Genomic DNA, 26,625 nt, shown 5'->3' on the forward strand with positions numbered 1-26,625 from the left:
CTAAATACACACCTTTATCTCTACTTGGCCTAAGGTATTAGTATTAATTTTTCAGGTGATTATAATATGCAGCCGTGTTCAGGAACCAGTGCGCCAAAAAGCAAGCAGGTAGTTTGGTAATTGTCAAATGTCCCCTTCCTTAGAATGACTTCAGCTTGTGTGTTCTTGTGAAGTATATTTACTTAAACAAATTAAATAGTTAAAGGAACTGGCAGGTCTGCATTTCATCATGATTGACAGGTTGAAAAAGAAATGTAGCTATGAGGTCGAATATCTACCATTTTAAGTGGAATCTGGCCTTGACTATCTCCGCTTAACCTTGCCTCTTTATTTCCTTCATTTTGTTTGCTTTGGTTTAGTTTGCTTTTCTTTTCTAGTATTCAATGTAGATGCTTAAGGTTACTGATTTTGATATGTTTATTTTTTAGTGTAGGAGTTTACAGCTATAAATTTCTGAGTACTTATTTTGTGGCACCTCATAAACTTTGTATGTTTTGTGTATGTTCTTTTTCCATTTATCTTAAATGATTTTATAATTATCTTACTAGTCCATCTTTAACCAATTGGTTATTTATATTGTGTTTATTGTTTGTTTAATTTCCACCGATTTGTGAATTGCCCAAATTTTCTGTGGTTACTAATTTATATTTTCTTGAAAAACATTAAGTGTATACTTATACTTTTACATGAGTGCTATATAGAAATATATTTGTTCTAGTTGCTTGTTATTGCTTTTAAAATCTATTTCCTTGCTTATTATCTGTCTAATCACTGAATACATTATTAAAAGAAAAATGTTAAAGCCTCTATTATTAGAGAGGAAATGCCTATTGTTGCTTCTATTATGTCAGTTTTTTGTTTTATGAATTTAGAATATTTGTTGTTACGTGCATACAGGTTTATAATTGTTAGATCTTCTTGATGGATTATTACTTTTGTCATTACAAAATGTACTACTTTGTTTCCTGTAAAAAATTCTACCTTAAAGTCCATTAGTCTGACATTAGTGTAGCTACCCTAATGCACCTTTAGTTACTGTCTATATGGTATACTTATTTGCATTTTTTTACTTTAAATCAATTTGTTTCTTTGAATTTAAAGTCTCTGTAAAGGAATATAGTTCTACTAAGTTTTTAGATCTATTCTGCCAACTCCAATTTTGACCTGAAAATTTAATCCATTTTCCTTTAAATTAATTAGTGATAAAGAAACAATAATTGCTACCATTTTGCTATTTGTTTTCTGTATGTCTTATTTAGTTTTGTCCTCAATCCCTCCTGACTGCCTTCTCTTGTGTAATATCAGTATTTCTAAAGTATTATTTAATTATTCTTTTTTTACAATCATTTTGAAATTTTCTCTTAGTGGACTTTCTAGGAATTATAACTAACATCTTAGTTATTAGCAATCTTATTTGGATTAATACCAACTCAATTTCAATAGTGTACAATTCTACTGTATAGCTCCATTCATTCTCCCTGCCTCTTTTACCATTACTGTCACACAAATAACATAAGTATATATTAAACAAAGATGTAGGAATTCCAATGGCATTTTTTTCACAAAAAAAATAGAAAAAAATCCTAACATTCATATGAAAACCCCAAAGACCCTGAACAATCAATGTAATCTTGAACAAACAAAAAAAGCTAAAGACATCATGCCTCCTGATATCAAATTGTATTAGAAAACTGAAGTGATGTGCCCATCAATACAGACAAATAATTACTTATTTATACAGTTGTCTTTTAAGTCTGATTATGATAAAATAGAGTTACAATAAAAAATGCATTCATGCTGGAGAGTAACACCAGCAAGATGGTGGAATATCAGCTTTCAGTTCTCATCCCCACACATAAACAACTATTTTGGCAATCACCAATGAATAAGAATAATTTTATGAGAATCTTCCAGTCTAGTTGAGGTACCAGCACCCCTGTGGAACAAGAGGGTAAGCACAGTTTCACTTTACCTGCATTGTCCTGCCCCACCCATGCAATTGACACAGCCAAGAAAGGAACTCAGCCCATAATTTCTCTCATGAAGGAAAGTGGCAGAGCAGTGAGCACCTGCCTTTCCCAGCCTTGAAGGATGTTGTCAGGAGGCTCACTTCTGTCTCACCCCATCCAGAACACTGAGGGGTCACAGAGTGGAATCATCTGAGGACAGCTAGAAGTAGGGAGAATAAAATGGAGCACACAAAAACCAGTGTATGGTTCCAGACACCTAGCCATGGGTCCTGCTAACCTGCTTGCAGACTTTGCCAAGAGGCCAACCCATGAAACCTGCAGGATGATGAGTCTGAGGGTTCCCTCGACAGCTGACACATTCTCCCAGCACCCCACAGGCTCTCTCTATGAACATCAAGTCCATGTCTTGGTGCATAGCTCATATGAGTTCCACGTGAAAGCACCCATGTCTCACCAGCAGTTGTGAATCTTAACAGGTGGCTCTATTCTCCTGGTGTGGGACAAGATGCGTAACATTAAGCACTTCAAAGTACTTCCTTAGTGAAAATAATGGGAGGCTCTCAGCACCAGGGCTGGCTTTACAGGATCAAGAGAAGATACATAATTCTAAAACTTGTTCCCCTAAGAGGAAACAAGAGGAGTAGTCAAGCACAACCATAGTAAAGGACTGTGAAATCACCAGAATCTCAAGCTGGGCTCATAGCAAAGTTTGTTTTACTTGAAAAGGACCTTCATGGCCAGGCATGGTGGCTCATACCTGTAATCTCAGCACTTTTGGATACTGAGGCAGGAGGATTGCTTGAGCTTATGAGTTTGAGACCAGTCTGAGCAACATGGTGAAATTCTGTCTCTACAAAGAATACAAAAAAAAAAGTAGCTGGGTATGCTGGTGCTACTGGGAAGGCTGAGGTGGGAGGATCACTTGAGCCTGGGAGGTGGAGGCTGCAGTGAGCCATGATTGCGTCACTGTACTCCATCCTGGGTGAGAGAAGGAGACCCTGTCTCAAAAAAAGAAAAAAAAAAAAAAGAAAGAAAGAAAAGATCCTCACCGTGATCACAGTCAGAAAAAAACTGGAGAAGGTGACTGCTTCTTCAGATATGAATATGTCAATACAAGTCTTTAGTAAACATAAAGAGTCAAGAGAATATGACACCACTAAAGGAAGAACATAAAGTTCCAGTGGCTGACACCAAAGAAATGGTAGTCTGTAAATTGCTTAACAAAAATTTAAAATATTCATCTTGAAGAAGCTCAGTGAGCTACAAGAGAAAACAGATTGTTAATTAAATTAAACTAGGAAAACAACACAAGGACAAATGAGAAGTTAAATAAAGAGATAACAACTACAGAAAAGAACCAAACATAAATTCTGGAGCTACGGAATACAAAGCTTAAGCTGAAAGATTTAACAGAGTGCTTCAAAAAGCAGTCTCAATTACACAAAGAAAGGAATCTGTGAATTCAAATATAATTCATTTGAAATTACATATTTAGAGATACACAAAGAAAAAATAATATAAATGTATGAAGAAATCCCACAAGACTTATTGGATACCATCCCCCAAACCAATATATGAATTATGAAAGTTCCAAAAAAAAAACAGAGAATGAGAAAGAGGACAAGCTTATTTTAAAAAGTAAGTGAAATTATTCAAATCTGGAGATGAAAATAAATATTTAGACCCATAAAAGCCAAAGAAGTATAAATAATTTCAGCATGGAGAGGTCTTCACCAAGACACAATATAATCAATTTGTCAAAGCTACAGACAAAGCAAAAGAAAAGTGCTTGTCACACATAAAGGAACTATCCTAAGGCTCCATATGGATATCTCAACAGAAAAACTTGTGGACCACGACAGATTGGAATTGAAGGTGAGGTATTCAGAGTGAGCTATTCAAAGTGCTGAAAGAAAACACAAACAAATATTAAAAATCAAAAGAAATCTGCTAAGAATACTTAACCTAGAAAAGCTGTCCTTTAGAAGTGCAGGAGAGATAAAGTCTTTCCCAGAAAAGCAAAGGCTGACAAACTTCATCACCACTAGGCCTGCCTTAGAGAAAATGCTAATGGAAGTTCTTCAAGCTGAAATTAAAGGCTACTGATTAGTAACATAAAAACATATGAAAGTATAAAACTCACTGGTAAAGTTAAACTCATTATCAAATTCAGAAAACTCTAATGCTTCAATATTGGTGCTAAATCATTTAATATCTAGTATAATGGTTAATTTAATGCAATTCCTATCAAAATTTCAATGACATTTTTAATCTAAATTGAAAAAAAATTACTAAAATTCTTCTGGAACTACAAAAGACCCTGTATAGCCAAACTAATCTGGAGCAAAGAGAACAAGCCTGGAGACATCATGCTTTCTAATATCAAATTATATTAGCTAGTGATAGTAATGAAAACAGTATGGTAATGGCATAAAACAGACCAATAAAACACCATATAGATCCCAAAAATAAACCCACATATATAAAGCCAAGTATATTTCCACCAAAGTGCCCAGAATACACAACGGAGAAAGGCTGATCTCTTTAATAACTGGTATTGGGAGAACTGGATATCCACATGAAAAATAATAAAGTTGGACACTTACATAGTGCACAAAAATCAACACAAAGTGGATTAAAGATCTAAATGTAAGATCTAAAGTTGTAAAACTTCTAGAAGAAAACACTGAGGCCAGGTGCGGTGGCTCACGCCTGTAATCCCAGCACTCTAGGAGGCCAAGGCAGGTGGATCACGAGGTCAGGAGATCGAGACCATTCTGGCTAACACAGTGAAACCCCGTCTCTACTAAAAAATACAAAAACTTAGCTGGGCCTAGTGGCGGGCGCCTGTAGTCCCAGCTACTCGGGAGGCTGAGGCAGGAGAATGGCATGAACCCAGGAGGCGGAGCTTGCAGTGAGCCGAGATCGCACCACTGCACTCCAGCCTGGGCGACAGAATGAGACTCCGTCTCAAAAAAAAAAAAAAAAAGAAAACATTGAAAAAAAGTCTCCTTGTCCTTGGTCTTGGCAATACGTTTTTTAAAATCAAAAGCACAAGCAACAAAAGCAAAAACTGACAAATGGGATTACATTAAACTATAAAGGTTCTATACAATAAAGGAAACAACCCAAATTAAAAGGCAACCTATGGAATGGCAGAAAATATTTTCAAATTATATATCTGATAAGAGGTAACAACCACAATATACAAGAAACTCATACAACTGAATATCAAACAAACAAAACCCAAATTATTCAAATAAAAACGGGCAAAGAACCTGAATAGATATTTTCCCAAAGAAGATACACTAATGTCCAACAGGTATATGAAAAGCTGCTTAACTCACTAATCATCACGGAAATACAAGTCAAAGCCACAATGAATATCACCTCACACTTGTTAGGATGGCTATTATTAAAAAAGTAATAAATTTAACAAGTGTTTAGCAAGGATGTTGAAGAAAGGGAATGATTATACACCAATAGTGTAAATGTAAATTGATAGAGCCATATGGAAAACTGTTTAAAGTTCCTCAAAAAATTAAAAATAGAACTTTCATGTGGTGTAGGAATATGACTTCTGGGTGTATATCCAAGTAAACTGAAATAAATATATTGAAGATATATTGGAACTCCCTTATTTATTTAAACATTTTTCACACTAGCCAGATATGTAAACACCCTAAGTCATTGATGGGATGACATAAATAAAAAGGATTTCCTTTTTATGTAAGTCAAATAATATTTCATTATATATTATAATTATATATAATGGAATTATTATATATAATGGAATATATAATGAAAATTATAATATATAAGAATAGTATTTTATATCAAAAAATAATGTATTTTTATAAATTACATATAATCCCGTTATATATAATTATAATATATATTATAATATATAATTCCAGTTTTATAATTATAATTATATATGTAATTCCATTATGTATATATATCATGGAATATTATTTAGCCTTTAATAAAAAGGAAATTCTGCCATTTGTGACAACATGGACGAACCTGGAAGGCATTGTTAAGTGAAATACTCCAGAGACAGAAAGACAAACACTGTATGATCTTACTCATATGTGGCAAGTAAATAGTGAAACTCAGATGCAGGGAATAGAATAGTGGTTGACAGGAACTAGGGAGAGGGAAAAATTAGAAGTGATGGTTAAAAGACACATAGATTCTCTTACGCAAGATAAATATATTCTGGATATCTATTATAAAGTATAATGTCTATAGCTAACAATACTTCATTGTATACTTGAAATTTGCTAAGAGGCTGTATCTTATATAAAGTGTTCCTACCAAAAATAAACACATACCCATAAAACCCCGATGATAATAATAAAGGAGGTGGGAAGAAACTTTGAGAGGTGATAGACACACCCTCTTTAGGGGTGGTGGTGGTTTCACAGGTGTATCCTTATCCCCAAACTCATCGAGATGTATGTACTAAATATGTTTCACTATTTAAATGTCAATCACACCTCAGTAAGGTGTTTTTTAAAATACATTTATATTTTCTCTCATATTTCCCGATGTCATTACTTCACTTAAGCCTGAAAGATTCCTTTGAATATTTCTTATAGGGCAAGTGTACTAGCAACAATCTTTGTTTGTTGTTGATCTCTTTGAGTTCATCTGACTTGAAGTTTATATTGAGCTTCATGAATGATTGGATTAATAGATTAATCTATTAATCCATTAATTATAGATTAACTATTAATTATAGATTAATGTTTTCTTTCAAGTTCAGAAAATTTATTCCATTATTTCTACAAATATTAATTTTTCCCATTTCCTATCTCTTCTCCTTCTAAAATTCCCATTATGCATATATTTTTGTGTCTGATGATATATTATCTGAGGTCTTTGGTCTTAAGCTCTGTTCATTTTTCTTTCTTTTATTTTTCTTTCTTTTTTTTCTGAGATCTGAGACTGTTCATTTTTCTTTTTTTTCCTGTTCTTCCGTTAAGTGGATAATCAACACATTTTTAGTTTACTAATTATTTCGTCTGCCAGATCACATCTGCTATAGACCCCTACTAGCGAATATTTTATTTCAGTTATTGTACTTTTGGACTCCACAATTTTTATTTGTTTTCAAATTTTATCTCTTTGTTGATATTGTTTCTTTCTAAATTTTTATGTTTTATATTTAGACATGATTATATGTAGTTGTTTGAACATATTTCAAATAACTGTTCTAAATAACTTTTTATTAGGAATATTAATAAAATTTAAAATATTAACAACAATATTTTTACTTTGAATCTACTGTTTGGGCCTCCTGAGATGCAGTTTCTGTTGACTGCATTGTTTCTCTCTGTGAGTGAGACTTACTTTCTTGTTTCTTTGCATATCTAATGACTTTTTGTTAAAAAGTAGCTATTTAAAAATATGTAATGTGGCAACTTTGAAAATCATATTTTCTTCCCTTCCAAGCTTTTGATCTGTTGTTACTTTATATTGCTGTCGGTATTACTGTTTGCTTATTTAGTGAATTTCATGAATTAATTCGATGACGCCTCTATCCTTTGTAGTGTATACCTGCTAAAGTTTCTGCTAAGTTAGCTTAGTGGTCAGCTAATGGTTGGACAGTAATGTCCTCAAAGGCCTTTGATCAATAAGTCTTCCTGCATTTGCAGAGGGTTCTAGGTGTCTTGAGGTTTACTTTCAAGGCTCAGTCAGAAAATATAAAATTCTGTCTTATTCTTTACTTTCTACTTTCTCAAAGTAAACCAGAGCTGAGAGCCTTGGATATTCTCAGGTTTTTCTGTTTTATGCTAAAACTCCTTGATGTGCACACAACCCTATACCTGCATTTGAAGCTTCATCCAAAGCCTGCTATGAACATTTCATTCCCAAGCCTTCTCTTTCGGGTATTTTAGTCAGCCTCTTTTTATCGCTGTTATCACTACCTCAGAAAGAGGTGGTGCAGAACCATTATCTCTCTTTGGATTCAACAGATTCCCTCCAGGGAAATGACTGTTTGCCTTGACTGAGGACTAAGGTCAAATAAAACAAGAAATCCTCCCTGTGAGTGGGAATTCCTAGGAAGCATCCAGAGTGATCAAATAATGACAATTCTCTGGGAGTGGAGCATTTGGGAAGCTTCAGTCCTGTTTTATCCCTGCCAATGTCTGCTTGGCTGCTGGCGTTCATTGTGATCATGGGCCTACTGGTTTCCAAGGCTACAATGGAGGCGATAGAGTGGGATGGAAATAAGACAGAATACTACAAAGCTCATTACCCCTACCAAGATTCAGCTGTTTTGTTTTTGTATTTGTTTTTTAATAAACACTTCTTGGATTGTCGCAAAAAAAATGGTTAAAGCGTTCTAAAGAATTGATTTTGATCATTTTAATCTGTGTTGTCTTTCTTTTATGAAGTAACAAGTATTTGGAGATACTTACTCCATCATCCTCACTGACATAATTCTAATCTATTTCCCTTTGGACTATGTATAGGCAGCTTCATAAAAAAGCAAATTGAGTTGTTAGATTTTTCTTAAAAAGTTTATCACAAAATATATTCATACTAGGATAAATTTTAAAATAATTGATCATAGAGAAATCAGTGAAACAGTTTTATTTGGAAAAATGAGACAACTTAATAAAGAATAACAATCATGAAAAACAGTTTTAAGAGGATAACTGTATTTATATGATTGTCACTGTAAAATAGAATTATTACTATTCAATATTATATTCTATTATGAATATATGAATAATGAATAATGAATGTAATTAATTGAATAGAAATAATTCTATGTGTATATATATAATAATTGAATATAATTAATTGAATAGTCATATAGTCAAAAGACAAAGCCCAAAATTAAATAACTTCATTTACAGCAGCTTAGGAAAAAAAATATTTGATGGAATTCTTATATGTTGAGAAGAAGCCTTTTTTGTCCTCAAAATTTAACACACACTCTCATTCACTCTCCATATTTCAGGGACAAAATTAATATTATTAAAATTAAATTCATACATATATATGCATACCTACAGTTACATATACACCTAGGCTATATGGTATAGTCTATTGTTAGGCTATAAAGATGTACAGCATGTTACTGTACTAAATACTATGACAATTATAACACAATGGTAAGTATTTGTATATCTAAACATATATAAATGTAAAAAGTTACAATAAAAACATGACATAAAAGATAAAAAGTGCTACACTTGTATAGGACACTTATGAATGAAGCTTGAAGGACTAGAAGTGGCTCTGGGTGAGTCAGTGAGTGAGTGGTGAGTGAATGTGAAGGTCGAGGACACTCCTGTACTCTACTGTAGACTTCAGAATCACTGCACACTTAGGCTACATCACATTCATTTAAAAAATATTTTTCTTTCTTTAATAATAAGTTAACCTCATATTATTGCAAATTTTGTACTTTCTAATTTCTTATTTTTTTAATTTTAAACTATTTTTATAATAACCTTTAGACTTAAAATACAAACACATTGGACAGCTGCACCAAATATTTTTTCTTTATGTCATTATTCTATAAGTTTTCTAATATTTTTAATTTTTAAATTTTATTTGTTAGCTTGTAAACTCTTGTTAAAAACTAAAACAGTAACACAAACATTAGCCTAAGCCTACACAGGGTCAGGGTCCTCAGTATCACTGGCTCATCTCCACATCTTTCCAACTGGAAGGTTATCAGTGATAGAAACACACATGGAGCTCTTATTTCCTATGATAATAGTGCCTTCTTCTGAAATACATCCTGAAGGACATGCCTGAGGCTGTTTTCATTGTTAACGTTTATTTTTATAAGTAGAAGGAGGTCATTCTAAAATAACAATAAAAATCATACTATAGGCCGGGTGCAGTGGCTCATGCCTGTAATCCCAGCACTTTGGGAGGCCGAGGCAGGCGGATCACGAGGTCAGGAGATCAAGACCATCCTGGCTAACACGGTGAAACCCCGTCTCTATTAAAAATACAAAAAATTAGCTAGGCGAGGTGGCGGGCGCCTGTAATCCCAGCTACTTGGGAGGCTGACGCAGGAGAATGGCGTGGACCAGGGAGGCAGTGCTTGCAGTGAGCCGAGATCACGCCACTGCACTCCAGCCTGGGCGACAGAGCGAGACTCCGTCTCAAAAAAAAAAAAAACAAAATCATACTATAGTACATACATAAATCAGTTACGAAGTCATTTATTATCATGATCAAGTATTATATACTATACATAATTTTAAGTGTTAGACTTTTGTATGACTGGCAGCGCAGTTGGTGTGCTTACGTGAGCATCACCACAAACACGAGTAATGCACTGATTGTGCTATGCCATTACGACCACTCTGACATCACTAAATGATAAGAATTTCTCAGCTCCATTATAATCTTATGGGACCACCATTACACATAAAGTCCTTTGTTCACCAAAATATTCTTAGGTGGGACATGACTGTATAAACCCGATTCTCTTGATAACTTTTGTCGTGACCTTAGGAAAACTGTTTCCTTTACCTCCTCCTGTTCTTTTTTTCTCAATTTGTAAAATGGGAATAGTAATAGCTATACTGCCTTTCAAAAAATAAGAAACTAGTATATATTTTAAAAAGATATTTGTTACAGGAAATTGTTTACATAGCTAATGAATGAAACAACAAGTTAGTGAAGAGATATGAGACAACTCAGAATTTAGCAAACAAGGAGGCACTATCACTCCAAAGATTTGGAGGGAAAAGAAGGAAGGGTTTTACTAGAGCTCAGAAGTAGATCTGTTTGTGAATGTCACAGAAGAGTTGGCAGAGGAAATTCAGGCCCTATTTATATTTAATATCATCACAGAAAAATCTTTTTAAACAAAATATGGACCTCATTTAACCTAAACTGACCTGTTGTTTGATATCTCCTTAGGACAATAAAGTTTTCCAAACTTTGTGCCTGACCCATCACATCAATGTATTTGCTTCTGGGTACGGAGGAGTGTTACTCCTTGAGGAGTAAGGTTCATTCAGATCTGAGAAATGGACTCAGTTGTCAAGCCATAGGTATTGTTGGATGAAAAACACTAAAGAGAGACAGAGGGAGAGAGAAAGAGAGAAACAGAGACTTTATTATTTACTCCCCCATCTAGAAGCACTTGTGTCATAACGATAACTGTAGATGTGAACTTGAATTGTGCCTTTGCCACTGGGTTGACCTGTATCATGAGTAAAATGAAGAACTTCTTTCAGCACCAAGTCTCTTACCTTTCAAATGTAGGGGCAATTATGCTTATTATATCTTGCCTGAGTGACAGGTACTACTGTCTGTAAGGTTTCTTTTTAAAATGAAATTACATAGGATCATGCATTTTAAGGCAAGAACATAGCATTGTTAATAAATGATACAAACTGCAACTAGTGAAATCTTAAAAAGACCCTGTATTCTGGTATGCCCACATTTGTAGTCCTTGACTTGTCTATCTCCTGAGCCCCAGTTGTTACTAAGTTGTAAGCATTTTGGAACTTGGCATCCTTCAAGACTCTGAACTGCTGTACTCTGATATTTAAAATCGACTCTAAATATCTTGGAAATTGTTTGGAATAATCTCAAGTAAAGTAGCAAATTGTAAGTATTATTTAAAGGCTTTATCAAGATTTAAGGTTTTGTAAATAAAGTGGGTGTACTAGAAAGTACAGAACTTAGTATTCAGAGTAGCAATAGATAAATAACAAATTATCTCAAAATTTATTGGCTAAAATGAACAAAAACTATTCTATCCCACAAATACTGTGGTAGAATAATTCAAGATAGGCTTTGATTGGTGGTTCTGACTTTATATCTTACATGTAATTACAGTCAGATGGTGGTTGGAGCTAGAAGAGCAGGTCTGAGAGAGCTGGGCATCTTTTTCTCTTAATGTAGTCTTAGAACCAATGTGCTTTTTTTTGTTTGTTTTTTGTTTTTTTGCATGTGGAATAATTTGAGCTTCCTTGCAACATGGTGAGCTCAGAACAGTCAGACAGCTTACATAACAGTTATGATCACTGAGGACAGACACTACCTGAGAGAAAAATGAAAGCTGGGTTCTGATCCTGACCTAATGTACAATTGCTTGTATTACAGGCTCTTGGTTGAAACAGCCTGAGCCCACATGGTTTCAAGGGGAAGGAGGTGAGAAGGATTCCATCTCTCACTAAGACAAGTACCAACATATTTGACTGCTTCTTTTAAAATCACTAAAAAAAGATTCTATTCTCTCCACTTTCATAAATCAATCCCTGTTGCCTTATCAGAAAAACTAGCTTTAAAATGAGTTAATCCAAAGCAAGTAAAACAGAGACTAGTATATAATAAATTCTACAAAAAAACACAGCTACTAGTAACACTAGCTTAATTAATAAACATAGATATTTGCTTTTTACTAAAAAATCGAGGGCTTTTCAAGTGAAAAGGTATACATAATTTTCTGATTAATATTATGTAATTATCTTTACCCAGCTACTGGTGAATAGTGAGGGTTATTCCTAAGTTTTTTCAGGTGTCCATTAAGTTTTCTCATTTTTATTTTAGTCTTTGCTTAATGGACCAAGAATTGACTGATTGAGAAAGAAATCAAGACACATTAGCACTTTAAATCCAATGTTTGAAATAAGCAGATGCCTAAAGGGATCTGAGAGATGACAGAAAGAAAGACAGAGAGAGAGAGAAAGCGAGCATGCAAATGGGTTTAAAGAAAGTCTGGCTTTTCTTTAATGTACTATGTCTGGCTTTAAGTCTCTCAATCATCTTTAGACAGTAATTAGTAGAGCAGATTCAAGTCTCTTCGAATGCCATTGGAGCTCAAGTCCACGGAAGAAAATGCAAATTGACAGTAGAAATGTTCAACACTGTTAAAGCTCTACATTATAAATATTTCAATGAGGTAAAACAAGAGAGCAAAGACAGAATCCACAGACATGCCTGCTATAAAGCAACATGAAACGCAACGCAAAATAAAATGAAAAACCAATGGAGAGGTTGGAAAGAAAATACTTGCAGACAGATTTTTTTTGTAGCCTTGTTATTTTCCTTATACCACTATTAGATTTAGAGCTCCATAAAGACAGGTATCTTTTATAATAAAGATAAATAATGACAGATATTAAAATTATGTATACATAAATTATATACATAATTTATTTATAGTATAATATATAAAATTAAATATATAATATATAAATTATATGTGGAAATAATGTATTCATAAATTATAACATATATTTTACCACACTTTAAATCAATGTAGCCATATTATAAATATAATAAATATATAAACATTGTATTTATAATAGTAATAGATACTATTATCTAAATAAATTTATTTAAATGAATAGTAAATAATGAATAGTAATTATAGATCAATAGAGATATCCTGACCTAATTAAATCAAATTTATATATCATAAAATTCAACCATTTAAGGGATACAATTCAGTGGGGTATTTTTTTAGTATATTATCACAGTTGAGCAGACATTATTACATCCAATTTTAGAATATTTTTATTACTCTTAAAAAAAAAAAACCTGTACACTTGAGCAGTCCCACTGCATAATTCCCTATATTTCCAGCCATCAGGAACCATTATTATCCTTTCCATCTCCAGAGACTGGTGTGGACATTTTATATAAAAGGTGCAATATGCGGTCTTTTGTGCTTGGCCTCTTTCACTTAGCATAGGGTTTTCCAGGCACATCCATTTTGTAGCATATACTACTATCTCAATTCTTTTGTTGCTGACTAATAATATTCCATCATTGGGATATGTCACATTTTATTCATCCATTCATCAATAGATTACCACTTAAATTATTTCTGTTTGGTTATTATAAATGATGCTGTTATAAATATTTATGTATAAGTTGTGATGTTGACATATATTTTTAATTCTTTAGCTTATATAGATAGGAATGAAATTGCTGTGTCATATGGTAACTTTTTCGTTTTTGTGTTTTTAAATCTAATGGGTTTCTCCAGTAGACAACATGAGCAGAATTTTATTTTTTTATCAAGGCTGACAATTTTTTTTTGGATTGAACAATTTATTCAATTTTTATTTCAGGTAATTATTGACATAGTTTATGTGCTTTTAGAGTTTATTAAATTATGCTTTTATTTACCATTTCTGTTTCTCTTCATCTATTCTTTTTTATTTTATTATTCTTATTTATTATATTTACCACCTGATGCCACATGCTTACAATTACACATCTTTGCTTCCACCCATCTTCTTTATGCTATTATTGTAAAATATATCTCTATGTAATATATACACCATATAATATTTTATAATTATTTTTCCCGACAAGAGATTTTTAAATCAGTTAAGAAAATAAAGGCAGGTAAATATTATGTACAGTACCTTTACTGGTACGCCAGTGTTGTTTGGTTCATTTCCTAATGAATTTAAATTACTGTCTTTTTTATTTGCTTTCATCCTGAAAAGTTTTCTTTAATATGTTTTACAAGTCTGCTGGCAACACATTGCCTCAGTTTTTATTTACAATGAATTGCTCTTATTTCATCTTAATTTCAAAATATAGTTTTGCTGGGTTTTGGCTGATGTTTTTCTTCTCTTGTAGCATTTTGAGTATGTCATATAACTGTTTTTTACCCTTTATTTTGCCTAATGAGAAGTTGGTTCTTGATTTTATTGGAGTCCTTTTGTACATATGAATTGTTTTCTTTTTCTAATTTCAAGATATTTTTCATAGTTTTTGTTTTTTATTATTTTTACTGTGATGTTTTTAGATGTAAATTTCTTTGTGTTTATCTTACTTAGAGTTCAATGGGGTTTTTAGATTTGTAGATTCAGGTTTTTCCCAAAATTTGAAACATTTTCAGCCATTGTATCTTTGAGTATTTTTCTGCTCTTTTCTTTCTCTTCTGGTACTCTCATTGTACATACACTGACACACTTAATTAATGGTGTCCTAAATTTCTCTAAAGCTCTGATTATTCTTCTTTAGTTTTTTCCCCTCATTGTCTTTTGGATTCCATAATCTGTATCAATATGTCTCTGCATTTCTGATTATTTATTCTTTCAATTCAGATACACTTTTGAGATTCTAGTATACTTTTTTATAGAAACTAACATAATTTTACATTATAGTACAGAAATGATGATCTGCTATTTGTTGGATAGGACCTCCATTATATGAGTGTGGGATAGATGTAAGAACAGAGCCCTTGATCTCTTGGGTTCATTCATCTGAAGCTTATTCTCTGCAATATGAAACTGAGGGGTGGGAATAAAAAATTCTGGTGGCCTATTCCTCCTGATGAGATGCTATAGTGCCTACTTGAGATCTAAGAAGGAGGAAGCCTCATTTTTTTTGCCCACATAACCTGGAGTTTCTATAATGTTAATCTGGGGTAAAGAAGAGTGAAGCAGTGAGTCATGGGTCATGTTCCACTAACCCTCACTCTTCTCATTGGAATTTAGTAGGTTCTGTTGAAGGAATGTTCCTTCATTTGCTGCAAGCCCCCAAGATAGATTTCATACACTTTATGTGTTTATTTTTAATAATTGTCAACAGTTACAGTTTTACAGAGGACCAGATTCATGAAGGTTATCCTACAACCATGCTGGGAGTTGTCTCAAAATAGTTACACTTTTGTATTGTTCCTGATTTATGTATAGGTACACAAAACCTAGCACTTATCAGATGTTCACAGAATGCTTTTTGTAAAATAAAAGGAAAAAAAAGAAAAGAAAAAATAATAAGTGAACAAGGCTAAGGAATTCTAATATATTGACCAGCATTAAATGCTAGTGAAGTTGACTGCTCCCACATAAATAGGCTCAACACTATAGAAATATTAACTCAGGTTCTTTTTTTCTAATTTTGAAAATAGCATGTAAAGAGTATGCTTGGTTTCAGTTCTAAACAGCATCTGTAGATCAGAATCTAAGTGTGCCAACAAAGTAGATTGGATCACCATGAAAGCGAGATAACTCTGCCCTCCGCACCTTTTTCAACCAATAAGAATCTTTCAATATAGATTACTCTGTGCCTTCAAGAGAAACTTGGCTCCTTGTCAATTCAAACTGGAAAAAAAATGCACAGAGGAGAGTGAACACCTTCTCTGTTAACATGCTGAGGAAAATTTTACAATGAATCTTTACACAGTATTTCCAAAAAAACAAAAATTTATTTTTATTTCTTTGATAAAAATGAGTCTTCTGCCCTGTTAGGTGTCTGGATATTTCACCTGTAATACTCATAAAAAATGAGAATTCCCGGCTGGGCGTGGTGGCTCATGCCTGTAATCCCATCACTTTTGGGAGGCAGAGGCGGGCAGATCACTTGAGGTCAGGAGTTCGAGACAAGCCTGGCCAACATAGTGAAACCCTGTCTCTATTAAAATACAAAATTAGCTGGGCATGATGGTGCATACCTGTAATCCCAGGTACTCAGGAGGCTGAGGCAGGAGAATCACTTCAACCTGGGGGGAGGAAGTTGCAGTGAGCCAAGATCATGGCATTGCACTCCAGCCTGCCCAAAAAAGAGAAACTCCATCTCAAAAAAAAAAAAAAAAAAAAAAGATAATTCAGGCTCTCATATAAGCTAATAAGTGAAGAATTCTAATAAGTGAAGCTATTAAGTGAAGATGTATAAGTCAGGAATATCTGGAATCAATGCATTTATTTTTCTTTTCCATAGTTACTGCATATCCTTTCAGTCATGGGAATAAAGTAAATCCATAGCATTTAAAATATATATTTAGTTCTGATCCTCAGCTTCTGTTGCTAATCTATAAAAATGGGCGCTTTCAACCATGAGACTAAAACACCCTGGAACTTACTAAGCATTATTTAATAAACTCTTAGCCTTTTGCATTTCTTTTTGTTTTAGTACGTATTTTTCACTTTTAGTTTATCTGAAATCTGGCATTCGGATAGCCAAAAAAAAAAAAAAAGCATAATTTTCTTCCTTTTACATTGAAAAACAAAACAACTCAAATGCATTTCTATTGTTGGTTCTGCTACAATAATGAAACAAAAGTGTTTTAAAAATAAAATAGTATAGCAGGAAATGGGCTTTATACCAGATGTGTCTCACAAATTTCAGCTTTCCCATTCTTTAGTCAAAGGCCTTAGATAATTACTTTTTTGCAACATCATAATAATATCTTTATTATATTTTACAATAATTTAGCTTGGGATGTTTGTCTTTTCTGACATGTTATATAGGGAAACCTCTATTCCTGAAAAAACTCTACATTGAAAGGGGGAAATGGGTCAATATCACATGAAATATCTTTTTATATTAGAATTCTTTCTTAGCCACAACTGCAGTCATCATTTACATCAATCAGTTTCTCAGGGACTGTGAAATTCTAGAATGTAGCAGTAATGCTTATCAAATAATCATCTCTCAAATAATAATCGATTGTCCGTGACCAATTGAGTTTCTTACTCACTGTTAATACAAAATAATCACGAGAGTTTTAAAGAAACCATAATCAAAGCAATATCTCCAACATGTGAACTTGTGATCACTGTTTTTAAAAATGTTTTTATCAATTAGCAAATGAGGGAGAAGTGTTTTTTCAAGACATGTTATAATATAAAACCCTTCCCCCAACTTTTCTTTAGTACACTGAAATTCATTTCTAAATTCAAGTAATAGTCATTTAATAGAATGCCAAGATTATACCCTGACAGTCATCACAATTTGTATTTCTGAAGTCACAAAATCAGACCTATACACTCTATAAATAACAAATACAATCTATATTGAATACATTTGTAAAGTCACAGTCATAATTTCTGTTGTTTATACTTTGTAAATCACATATATATTCCGTGTTACTCAATTATCTTAGTGCAAACAGAGCATGTCCGAAGGAAGGATATCAGGATGTGAGAAGATTTCGAAGCAAGCCCTGCACGCAGTCATTGAAAGTACTTTTTCATTTTGATTTTCCTAAGAAAAAGAAAACCCTTAATGAAGATCGCGATTTTCTTAAACCATCACAGTGTTTCATGGGAAAGAATAACATGCTATCTTTGTGACTCTAAAACAGAGTAAATGCCCTATGTATTCAGGAAAACATACTGATATAATGGAAAGCAAACACTTAAAACAACCAGAAATGGAAAAAGATGTCTCAGTGGTTTGGGATACCACTTAAATACATGGGAATCTATGTATTCATAGACGTTCAAGTGCCAGATTTCAGATAAACCTATCAGAACCTTTTAACCCCGAGACCCTAGAATTAGCTAATTTGTCCTTTCTCTTTCTCTTGTTGTTGTTTAATGTGATTTTCAGTGCATTGTTTTCTCCAGGCATCAATTCTGAGACCTAAGTATGTCCTCCAAATTTAGACTTAGATGAATCCATTTCGACTTTTTACTGTCATCCTTTCTTCTCCCAAAAATTTCATTTTTTTTCTCTCTACCCTTTCTGATTTGCCATAACATTTACCTTAAAGGATTGTCTTAAAGGGTTCTCTTTATTGTCTTTTTTTCTCTATCAGCAGCATTAAAACAAGTAAAAGAGCACTGTTTTGCTCCCTGAAGCCTGAATTCAAAGTTTCTTAACATAACCTATCTACCTATTTTCAATGAAGTTCACATTCTCTATTATCAGACTATCTAAATTACATGATTTGCCCTTTCCCACAGGGGAACCATTCAAAGACCCCTAGGGGATTGCTGAAATAGTGGAGAGTACTTGAACCCAAGCACTGTGATGGTGCAACAGCTGATCTGATAACCAAGAAGCCTCCTAAGTCTAATGTTCTGGGGGCCTCTACAGCGTGGATACAGTGGGCAAAGAGATGATTTGTATCCCAGGCAGGAAGGAGCGGGATGGCGCAAGATTTCATCAGGCTACTTAGAAGAACGGGCAATTTAAACCTCAGGAATGGCTTATTTCTGGAATATTTCATTTAGTATTTTCAGATCATGGTTGACCACAGGTAAAAAACTACAGAAAGCAAAGCCATGGATAAGGGCAGACTACTGTACTTCAAACATCACAGTTATGTTTAAATATACAAAGAAGAAAGGATATCAAGCTTTATTTCATGTTCAGAATATCCACAGCCCTCTAATAAGCAATTTATGGCAATCGTGTTATTTAATTTGTATAACAACCATAACAATAGATATTCTTTTTTTAGCAGAATACCAGTGTTCAGCAGATCAAATAATTTTCCCATGTCACAGGTGTACTTTGACTCCTAATTGCATTCACACTCCACAAGCTCCACCTCCCTTGTTCACGTCATTCTCCTGCCTCAGCCTCCTGAGTAGCTGGGACTACAGTTGCCCACCACCACGCCCAGCTAACTTTTTTGTATTTTTAGTAGAGACGGGGTTTCACCGTGTTAGGATGGTCTCAATCTCCTGACCTCATGATCCGCCCGCCTCGGCCTCCCAAAGGTATGCTGTTTTAATAACATAGCTATGAATCCTATACAAAGTCGTTTCTGTTACAATATATTGATTAAGGCAGTAACAGAAGAGAGGAGAAATAAATCTCCATTCTGTGATTAAGGCAGTAACAAAAGAGAGGAGAAATAAATCTCCATTCTGGCCAGATACCACAAGAGCATGTGGTAATGAAATATCATTCTGCATATTTTAGACAACATGTTCTTCTACATTACCTAAACAAGTTTACCTATGGTACAAAGCAGACTTTTTCTACTATTCTGAATTGTTTAATTGTTTTTCTTTTTCACTTGTTGATATGGACCTTAGAGTGTCAGCATGGACCAAAAGCGTTCCACAGATCAAATTGAGTCTCATTGGATCTCATTAAGTACAACTGTTAGATCCTTGACTGTTGTCTTAACAATTCTCACTGACGTTGGAATCAACCAGCAAAGTGCCACATTGATTTTCCAACTCTGGCTTTTAATATAACTGGATTTGCACCGAGTGCCCAAGAAAAACTGAAAATGCCATTCACTCCTCTATAACATAATGTGATTGCATCACAGTAAAATATTTGATGTTTAATAACAACTACAGTTGCATTTCTGCCATTGTGTATTGCAGTACATACATAGAATGTGTTGTAATTCAGCATATCAACAACATGTTTCTCTCTAAAAGGGTGAAATTATTATTTTATTGTTCCCTATTTTCTTTCTCCTTGTTTTCTGTAACATCAATCCTGAAAATACTACAGTCCTATAATGCCTTTTGTTCTAACTGTAGGTGTTTTCAAAATAATCAATATGTAATAATTAGAAATATATGAAGTATCAGAACTGAAGTGATTAAGGATAAATAAACAAGCAAACAAAGCCAAGGCTCACATTATGAAGTTTACAAAGCTATGGTTAACGTTATCAAGTAAAGCTACTCTTGGTTTGCAATCAGTATCACATATTTATAAACTAATATTTGGTCCTCAAAATGTTTGCTGTGTTTGAAATCCTTCAAACACCCTCTTTTTCTTCACTTTATGTATTCTAACACTGATATCTTTCTTGCTTTATCTCACAAGAGCTGCTAAAGGAGTCTAGACTTTATGAAAATGTGTGTTCTTGAGAATTTCCTTTCTCGAAACACAGAACAGATGAATAGATATACTTTGTTCTATTTCTTCTGCTAAGTACAACTAAAAACCTAGGGCATTATATATAAGACACATATAAAAACATTGTGAAGGAGAGAAGAAGAGAAGAGTGCTGGGGAACCCTGGGCCTAAGGAATGCCACAGTAGTGAATTCCTTGGGTTTCCTTTTCACCTTATTTATCCCAGACCCAGAGCTAAAGAAGCCACCATCCCAGAAATGCCAACGGCTACAGACAAAAATCCCCAATTAAAGTCTGCTATCTTTAGCTGAAAGGCCAGAAAAGGAACTTCTAGCAAGAAAGAAACATTTTAGAAAATAATCTACTTTAGTCAAACACCACAACAAAACTGTGGCCCCACTCTCATTAACACTAGCAGAGTTGGAGTGATAAATCTAGACTTCCACCTCATTTACCACGCTGGAATGACGTTTCCCAACACCTGCACCAGAGTAGCATCAGAAAAGTGAGCCAGAACTTTCATCGCTATCACATGGTAGCTTTCATCTCCACTTCTCACATGGTATCAGAAGAGACATATGGTCAGCCTAGACTTCCAGCCCCGCACCCCCATGCCAGCAGTAACAAGGCACCCCTCACCTCCTGTTGGGAATAGACCCCCCAAAATCTGGCCTTAAACTGGCCCCAAAACTGGCCATAAACAAAATCTCTGCAGCACTGTGACATGTTCATGATAGCCATAACATCCACGCTGGAAGGTTGTGGGTTTACGGAATGCGGGCAAGGAACACCTGGCCCACCCAGGGAGAAAAACTGCTTAAAGGCGTTCTTAAACCACAAACAACAGCATGAGCAATCTGTGCCTTAAGGACATGCTCCTACTGCAGATAACTAGCCCAACCCATTCGTTTATTTCAGCCCATCCCTTCGTTTCCCATAAGGGATACTTTTAGTTAATCTAATATCTATAGAAACAATGCTAATGATTGGCTTGCTGTTAATAAATACGTGAGTTAATCTCTGTTTGGGGCTCTCAGCTCTGAAGGCTGTGAGACCCCTGGTTTCCCACTTAACACCTCTATATTTCTCTGTGTGTGTCTTTAATTCCTCTAGCGCCGCTAGGTTAGGGTCTCCCTGACCGAGCTGGTCTCGGCAACCTCCCAGTTGGGGTGGTGTCAGAGGAAGCCTAGTAAAGGACTTTCACCAACGCCAAGTAGTAATAAGGCCACAGGCACATCCCATGATGTTACATCTAATACAAAAAGCCAGAGACATCACGAATTGAACAGAAAACACAACCAAAAGATGTCAGCACTGAGATGACAGAGGTATTAGAATTATCTTCCAAAGATTTTAAAGTGACATCATAAAATGACTAAGCCAATGATTAAGAAGACATTTGAACTTGATAAAGAGCATTTATGGAACTTACAGCTTACATTTACTTAATGATAGAAGACTGAATGCATTCCTACTAAGGTTGAGAACAATGAAAGATTATCTGTGTTCATCACTCTTTTACAACACAGTGCAATAAGGCTGGCAAAAAAAAATAAAAGGCATGCAAATTACAAATAAAATGCCTCAATATGCAGATAACATTAGTGTCTATATAGGGAATTCCAGGAAACCTACCAAGAAAATGTATTCAATAATGATTTCAATAAGGTTGCATGACATAAGATAAACTTACATAAATCAAATCTATTCCTATTATTTAGCAATAAATATGTGGATACCAAAATTGAATAAATAATAAAATAAAATACTTACATATAAATCTGAAAAACTCATGCAGGAGTAATATGCTGAAAACTACAAGATGCTGATCAAAGAAATTAAAGATGTAAATAAATGAAGAAATTCAGGTTCATAGACTGGAAGATTCAACTTTGTAGTATATCAATTATCCACAAATTGATATAAAAGTTTTATTCATTTGCTATCAAAATCTCAACAAGAACTTTTAGAAATATAGGCAAGATTATTCTAAAATATATAGGAAAAGGAAACTAATCAAGAATAGCTAAAACAATTTTGAAAAATAAGAGTAAAATGAGAAAGAAAAAGTCTACCTCATTTCAACACTTATTAAATCGCTACAGTAATCAAGACTCTGTAGTATTATTGGAGGAAAAGACATGTAGTTGAAGGGAACAGAATAGAGGGCCAAGAACTAACACCACATGAATATGTACATATGATTTTTGACAAAAATGTAAAAAACAATTAAATGCAGTAGAGATAACTTTTAAATCAATGGTGCAGGAGCAATTGAAACTCCACAGGCAATAATGAACCTCAATCTAAGTTTTACATCTTATATAAAAATTAAATAAAAATAGATTCTAGAGTTAATTTAAAAAAAATACAAATTATTAAAAAAAAAAAACAGAAGAAAATCTTTGGGATCAAGGGCTATGGAAGAGGTAAGGTTGGGGTTCGTTGACTAGATACCAAAATCACAATCCGTACCATGAAAAATTGATAAACTCTACTTCAACAAAATCAGTACACTTTACTCTGTGAGGACTCTGGCAATAGGATGAAAAGAAAAGCTACAGACTGGAAGAAAAATGTATAAACTATACCTCCATTAAAGAACTAGTCTCTAGGCTATCTAAAGACCTCTCAAAACTCAACATTTTAAAAAATCCAGTTAGAAAATAGTCAAAGGATATAAAGCGCATTTCACCAAAGATGAATAATCGCATTAAAAAAAAGTTCAATATTATTACCCGTTAGGGAAATGCAGATGAAAATCACATGAGCCATCATCAAACATCTATTAAAATGGTGATAAGATAGATAGAAAGATAGATAGATAGATAGATAGAAGATAGATAGATGATAGTAGATGATAGATAGATGATAGAAGATAGATAGATGATAGAAGATAGATGATAAATAGATGATTGATAGATAGATAGACAGATAGACAAACAACAAATGCTGATGAGGGTACTGAGAAACTGATTCATTCATATTTTCCATATGGGAACTTAAAATGACATGGAAACACTGGAAAATATGTTTTTTAAATAATTTAAAATGCAACTACCACAAGACCAAACAATTGTACTCTTCACCCTTTACCCCAAATAAAGGAAAGCTTGTGTTAGCGTGAAACTTTTTCATGGATGTTTATTGCAGCTTTATTCGTAACAGTCACAAATTGGAAACAGCCCAGATATCTTTCAATGGATGAAAGCTGACATTAACTATTATACATCCATACCATTAAATGCTAGTCAGCAATTTTTAAAAGATCATACTATTGATATATGCAATAATCTAGATGGATCTCCAGAGTATTATGCTCAGTGAAGAAGAGTTAATTCCAAAAGGCTATATACTGTATTATCTCGTTCATGTAACATTATGGCAATGACAAATTTACAGAGATGAAGAAGAGACCTAATTAGGGCTTAAAGAGGATATTGGGCAGGAGGGAAGGAGTTTCGTTTTAAAAAGGAAATATAGGGGATCTTTGCAGTGATGGAAATGCTCAGTATGTTGAGTGTACAAATAGCATATATTGGTTGTGATATTATTGTATTAGTTTTATAAGAGATTTTTATTGGGGGAAACTGTGTGAACCATATGTGAGATCTTTCTGTATTATTTCTTAAAACAGCACACCAATCTACAACTACTTCAAAGTTAAAAGCGTAATTAAAATTTACATTACATAATACTTTATTTACTGGGCAGGGTGCCAGTAAATGAGAGTTCAAGCCAGGTGGATCACGAGGTCAGGAAATTGAGACCATCCTGGCCAACATGGTGAAACCCAGTCTCTACTAAAATACAAAAAAACTAGCCAGGTGTGGTGGCACGTGCCTGTAGTCCCAGCTACTCGGGAGGCTGAGGCTGGGGAATTGCTTGAACCCGGGAGGCGGAGGTTGCGGTGAGCCGAGATTGCGCCACTGCACTCTAGCCTGGCGATAGGGCAAGACTCCATCTCAAAAAATAAATAAATAAAATAAATAAAATCCTTTATTTAACATGCATTACAGGTCACCTCCAACATATCATACTGAAAGTGTCTTGAAGATAGGAAATATTATTTATTTTATTTAATTAATTTATGTATGTATTTATTTTGGGGGCAGGTCTTGCTCTATCACCTACGCTAGAGTGCAGTGGCAGAATCCTAGCTCACGGCAGTCTAGAACTCCTAGTTTCAAGCAATCCTCCCTCCTCAGCCTCTGAAGTCACTGGGACTACAGGCACACACCACCATTCCTGCCTAGTTTTTTTTAATTTTTAATTTTCTTGTAGAGACGGGTATTGCCATGTTTTTCGAGCTGTTTTTCAACTTGTAGGCTCAACCGATCTTCTCACCTCAGCCTCCCAAATCCCTGAGATTAGGAGAGTAAGGCACTCTGCCTGGCCAAGAAACATTATTTAGAGCTTTCAACTACTTTTTTCTGCACCCCCTTCTTGTGACCATGGCTAACGAATCTTAAAAACACCAGTCCCATCATTTCCCATTTCAGCATGTCTATACTTAAAACCTTTCCTTTGCTTTACACTGCTTTTTAATCAAAGATTAGCATAGACTTTGTGGCCCAGTACCAATCATGGCCTGTACACTTCTTCAGTAGCATCTCATTCCTCATCGCCTCTCTTTTGGTGCTTCAGGCAAACTGAACAGTTCCTGATCATGTCCAGGTCCTTCCTATACAGGGTTTCCTGGCTTGGATCCTATGAACACTGGTCTTACTTTCCGAAACACCCTTTAAAAGACTGCAGTCAGTGGAAGTGGAATAAATTTAGTTACATACTATTTAAGGTTTTAAAATGTGGGCAGTGGGAACATTGTTTGAAAATAAATTTTGCTGGAAAGACAAGGAAGCTATGAAGACAAACTTACCAGAGAGATAATATTTGAATCCAGTCTTAAGAAGCTTGTCATATAGTAGGGCTCACCATAACGCTATATAATTAAGTGCTACATAAGGATTTTGTTTGTTTTGTTTTTTTGTTTTTTGAGGAGTCTCTCTGTGATTCCCAGGCTGGAGTGCAATGGCGTGATCTCGGCTCACTGCAACCTCCACCTCCTGGGTTCAAGTGATTCTCCTGCCCCAGCCTCCCGAATAGCTGGGATTACAGGTGCCTCCTGCCACTCCTGGCTAATTTGTGTATTTTTAGTAGAGACAGGGTTTCATCATATTGGCCAGACTGGTCTCGAACTCCTGACCTCAAGTGATCTGCCCGCTTCAGCCTCCCAAAGTGTTGGGATTACAGCCATGAGCCACCGCGCCAGGCCCATAAGGATGTATTGGTTAACAAGAAACCACATACATGATGGCGGTCCCATAAGATTATACCACCATAATTTTGCTGTATCTTTTCTATTTTTAGATATGTTTAGACACATAAATACTTACCATTGTGTTACAATTGTCTACCATATTCAATACAGTAACATGTATGTTATAGATTTATAGCCTAGGAACAATAGGCTATACCACATAGCCTAAGTGACCTAGGTTGTGTAAGTACACCTTGTGACAGTCACACAATAATGAAATTGTCTAACGATGCATTTCTCAGAACATAGCCCCATCATCAAATAGATAAAAATGAATGACAGATGTATGTATCCTCTAGTGTGCTATAAAAGGGTAGCATTTTGGAAATTTTGTTCATGAGTTTCTCAAATGTTAGAAACATATGAAAGTCTGTCATCTTTAGAAGTCCTTCAAAGAGATTAAAATGCCAGCAATACAGTTGCTTAAATTGGTAAGATTTTTAAAGGCACATATATTTAGTAGTGACTTCTTTTTAAACATGAAGCACAATTTTAACAATGAAAATCCTTAAGCCTATGAGGCATTAGCACTTCTTCCACCCTCCCCTTCTCTAATCAGTTTAATATGTGCTCCATGAAAAGACACTTTTCATGGAAGCACTTCTTTCCACATATTTTCTTACTTTAATGGCATCAGGAAAATCCCATAATCACTTCACCTCTGGATCAGTTTGTTAGCTTTCACCAGAACACAGCTATGTGGTTTTAGAATTAAGGAGAGGCAGTAGAGGGAGCTCTGACAGCCTCAATTCTAGGGCCGAAATTTTTCCCTTTCAGTGAGCCACAATCTCACAGCCTCAATGAAGAACTAACG

The 26,625-nt window shown here is 34.4% G+C and overlaps 1 long non-coding RNA gene across 3 annotated transcripts in view, besides 1 other annotated feature; it reads right to left on the reverse strand.

Moving 5' to 3' along the window:
* LOC105371308 (uncharacterized) overlaps positions 1–26,625 on the reverse strand; it is a 512,336-nt gene that overhangs the window by 398,150 nt on the left and 87,561 nt on the right. The gene's annotated exons all lie outside the window — the stretch shown is intronic.
* Positions 10,076–10,223: a silencer, noted in NCBI's record as "fragment chr16:63547840-63547987 (GRCh37/hg19 assembly coordinates)". NCBI's record gives its function as "represses an EF-1alpha promoter that drives an FKBP-Casp9 reporter gene in an ReSE screen in K562 erythroleukemia cells {active_cell/tissue: K562}" and the evidence as "EXISTENCE:reporter gene assay evidence [ECO:0000049][PMID:32094911]".

Source organism: Homo sapiens, chromosome 16, assembly GCF_000001405.40.
Source record: "Homo sapiens chromosome 16, GRCh38.p14 Primary Assembly".
Taxonomy (NCBI): Eukaryota; Metazoa; Chordata; class Mammalia; order Primates; family Hominidae; genus Homo; species Homo sapiens.